Consider the following 2,756-nt stretch of genomic DNA (forward strand, 5'->3'; position numbering starts at 1 on the left):
ACTTCAGTAACACCATTGGTCAAATGGACTAATAAACATATACAGAACATTTCGCCCAACAGAAGTTTAATACAAAATTTTCTCAAGTGCACATGGAACATTCTCCAGAATAGATCATGTTAGGTCACAAAACAAATCTTATCAAATTGAAGAGGACTAAAATCATCTCAAGTATCTTTTCTGGCTACAATGATATAAATATAGAAATCAATAACAGGAAGAAATTTAGAAAATTACAAATAGGTGGAAATTAAACAACACACTCATAAGATACCAACAGGTCAGAGAAAAAATCAAAGGGAAAATCAAATGTACATGGAAATAAACAAAAATTGAAACACTACAGCTTTGCCCAGATGTGTCTCCTCATCCCCATGGAACAGGAAGCTAGGGAACCTGGAATGCCCATCCAGGCCATCATCTGAAATAACAGAGAACACTTGAGAGTAAACAAAGATCAAATACATAGCCATCTGCTTATGTTACGGCTGGCTCTTACCCTTAAGCCCCATCTACTGCTCCACAGGTCAAATTGCACTGCCTAATATAAAAACTGCTAAAAGAAGTGAAAAGGGGTATAGAAACAAAGCCAAAAGACCCTACTCAACATACTCTACAGTTGCACCACTTAGAGAGAAGGGGAAAGGAAAAAAATATATAAGGAAAGAAAAAAAAATCCTATCCACACAAAAATAATTACAAAAATTAGAAGTGCCATCCTCTCCAGATGAAAGGGACCAGTATAAGGATTCTGGCACCATAAGAAATCTGAATCTTGTGACATCACCAAAGAATTACACTAGCTCTCCAGCAAGGACTCATAACCAAAATGGGAGCTCAGAAATGACAGGCAAAGAATTCAAAGCATGAATTGCAAGAAGGCTCAATGAAGTCCGAGGCAATGTTGAAAATCAACACAAGGAAACTACTAAAGCAGTCCAAGAAATGAAAGAAGACATAAACATGTTAAAAAGAAATTAATCAGAGATCCTGGAATTAAAAACTCACTTAAGAAATTTCAAGATACAATTGAAAGTTTTATCAATAGATTAAACCAGGCAGAAAAAAAAAAAAGAATTTCAGCCTTTTAAACTAGCTCAGGCAGACCACACACAGAGAAAGAGAGAGAGAATAAAAGAAAAGAAAATCAACAAAGTCCTTGAAAAATATGCGATTATGTAAAGTGACCAAACCTATGGGTTACTGGCATTCCTGAGAGAGAAGCAGTAGAAGTGAAAAACTTGAAAAACATATTTGAGGGAATAATTCAAGAAAAATTTTCCAATCCTGCCAGAGTAGTAGACACCTGAGAAAGACTTTACACAATATATATCACCAAGGAACCGAGTTACCAGACTAAGCAAGGTCAACACCAAAGAAAAAAATCTTAAAGGCAATTAAAGAAGATGGTCAGATAACTTACAAAGGGATTCCCATCAGACTAACAGCAGACTTCTCAGCAGAAACCTTAAAAACCAAAAGAGATTGGCGACCTATTTTCAGTATTCTTAAAGAAATGAAATTCCAACCAATGTTTCATATCCTGATGAACTAAGCTTTATAAGTGAAGAAGAAATAAAATTTTAGTGACAACCAATCACTAAAGGAATTTCTTACCAGTAGACCAGGCTTACAAGAGATCCTTAATGGAGTTACAAACATGGAAACAAAAGAATGATACTGGCTACCATAAAAACACACGTAAGTAGCCCACAGACCTAATAAAGTAATTGTACACAATTAAGACTATAAAGCAGCCAACTGGAAACTTCATGACCATCAGGATCAAAACCTTGAATTTAAATGGTCTAAATATCCCACTTAAAAGGTACAGAGGGACAAGTTAGAGAAAACACAAAACCGATCTATCTGCTGTCTTCAAGAGACCCATCACTCATGTCATGGCACCCACAGTCTCATAGTAAAGGGTTGGGGAAAGACTTATCACACAGAGAGAAAATAAACAAACAAGAAAGAACAAGGGTCACTATTCTCACATCAGATAAAACAGACTTTAAACCAACAACAGTAAAAAAGGACAAAGAAGTATATTCTGTAATGATAAAGGATTCCATTAAACATGAAGACTTAACTACGCTAAATATATATGCACCTAACACTGGAACACTCAGATTCATAAAACAGGTACACCTAGGACTACAAAAATATCTAAACAGCCACACAAAAGTGGGGGACTCGACACCACTGACAGTATTAGACAGATCATCGAGGCAGAAAACTATCAGGGAATTCTGGACATAACTTTGACACTTGGCCAGTTGGACTTAAAAGACCTCTACAGGGCTGGGCACGGTGGCTCATGCCTGTAATCCCAGCACTTTGGGAGGCCGAGGTGGGCGGATCACAAGGTCAGGAGATCGAGACCATCCTGGCTAACATGGTGAAACCCCGTCTCTACTAAAAAGACAAAAAATTAGCCAAGCGTGGTGGAGGGCGCCTGTAGTCGCAGCTACTCGGGAGGCTGAGGCAGGAGAATGGTGTGAACCCGGGAGGCGGAGCTCGCAGTAAGCCGAGATTGCACCACTGCACTCCAGCCTGGGTGACAGAACGAGACTCCATCTCAAAAACAAAAAACAAACAAACAAAAATAACAAAAAAAAAACCCTCTACAGACTACTCATCAACCACAGAATATATGCTTTTCTCAACTGCACACAGAATGTACTTTAAGAGTGACCACATGCTAGGCCATAAGGCAAGTCTCAATAAATTCAAACAAATAGCAATCATACCAA

This window comes from Homo sapiens, chromosome 1 (assembly GCF_000001405.40).
Source record: "Homo sapiens chromosome 1, GRCh38.p14 Primary Assembly".
Taxonomy (NCBI): domain Eukaryota; kingdom Metazoa; phylum Chordata; class Mammalia; order Primates; family Hominidae; genus Homo; species Homo sapiens.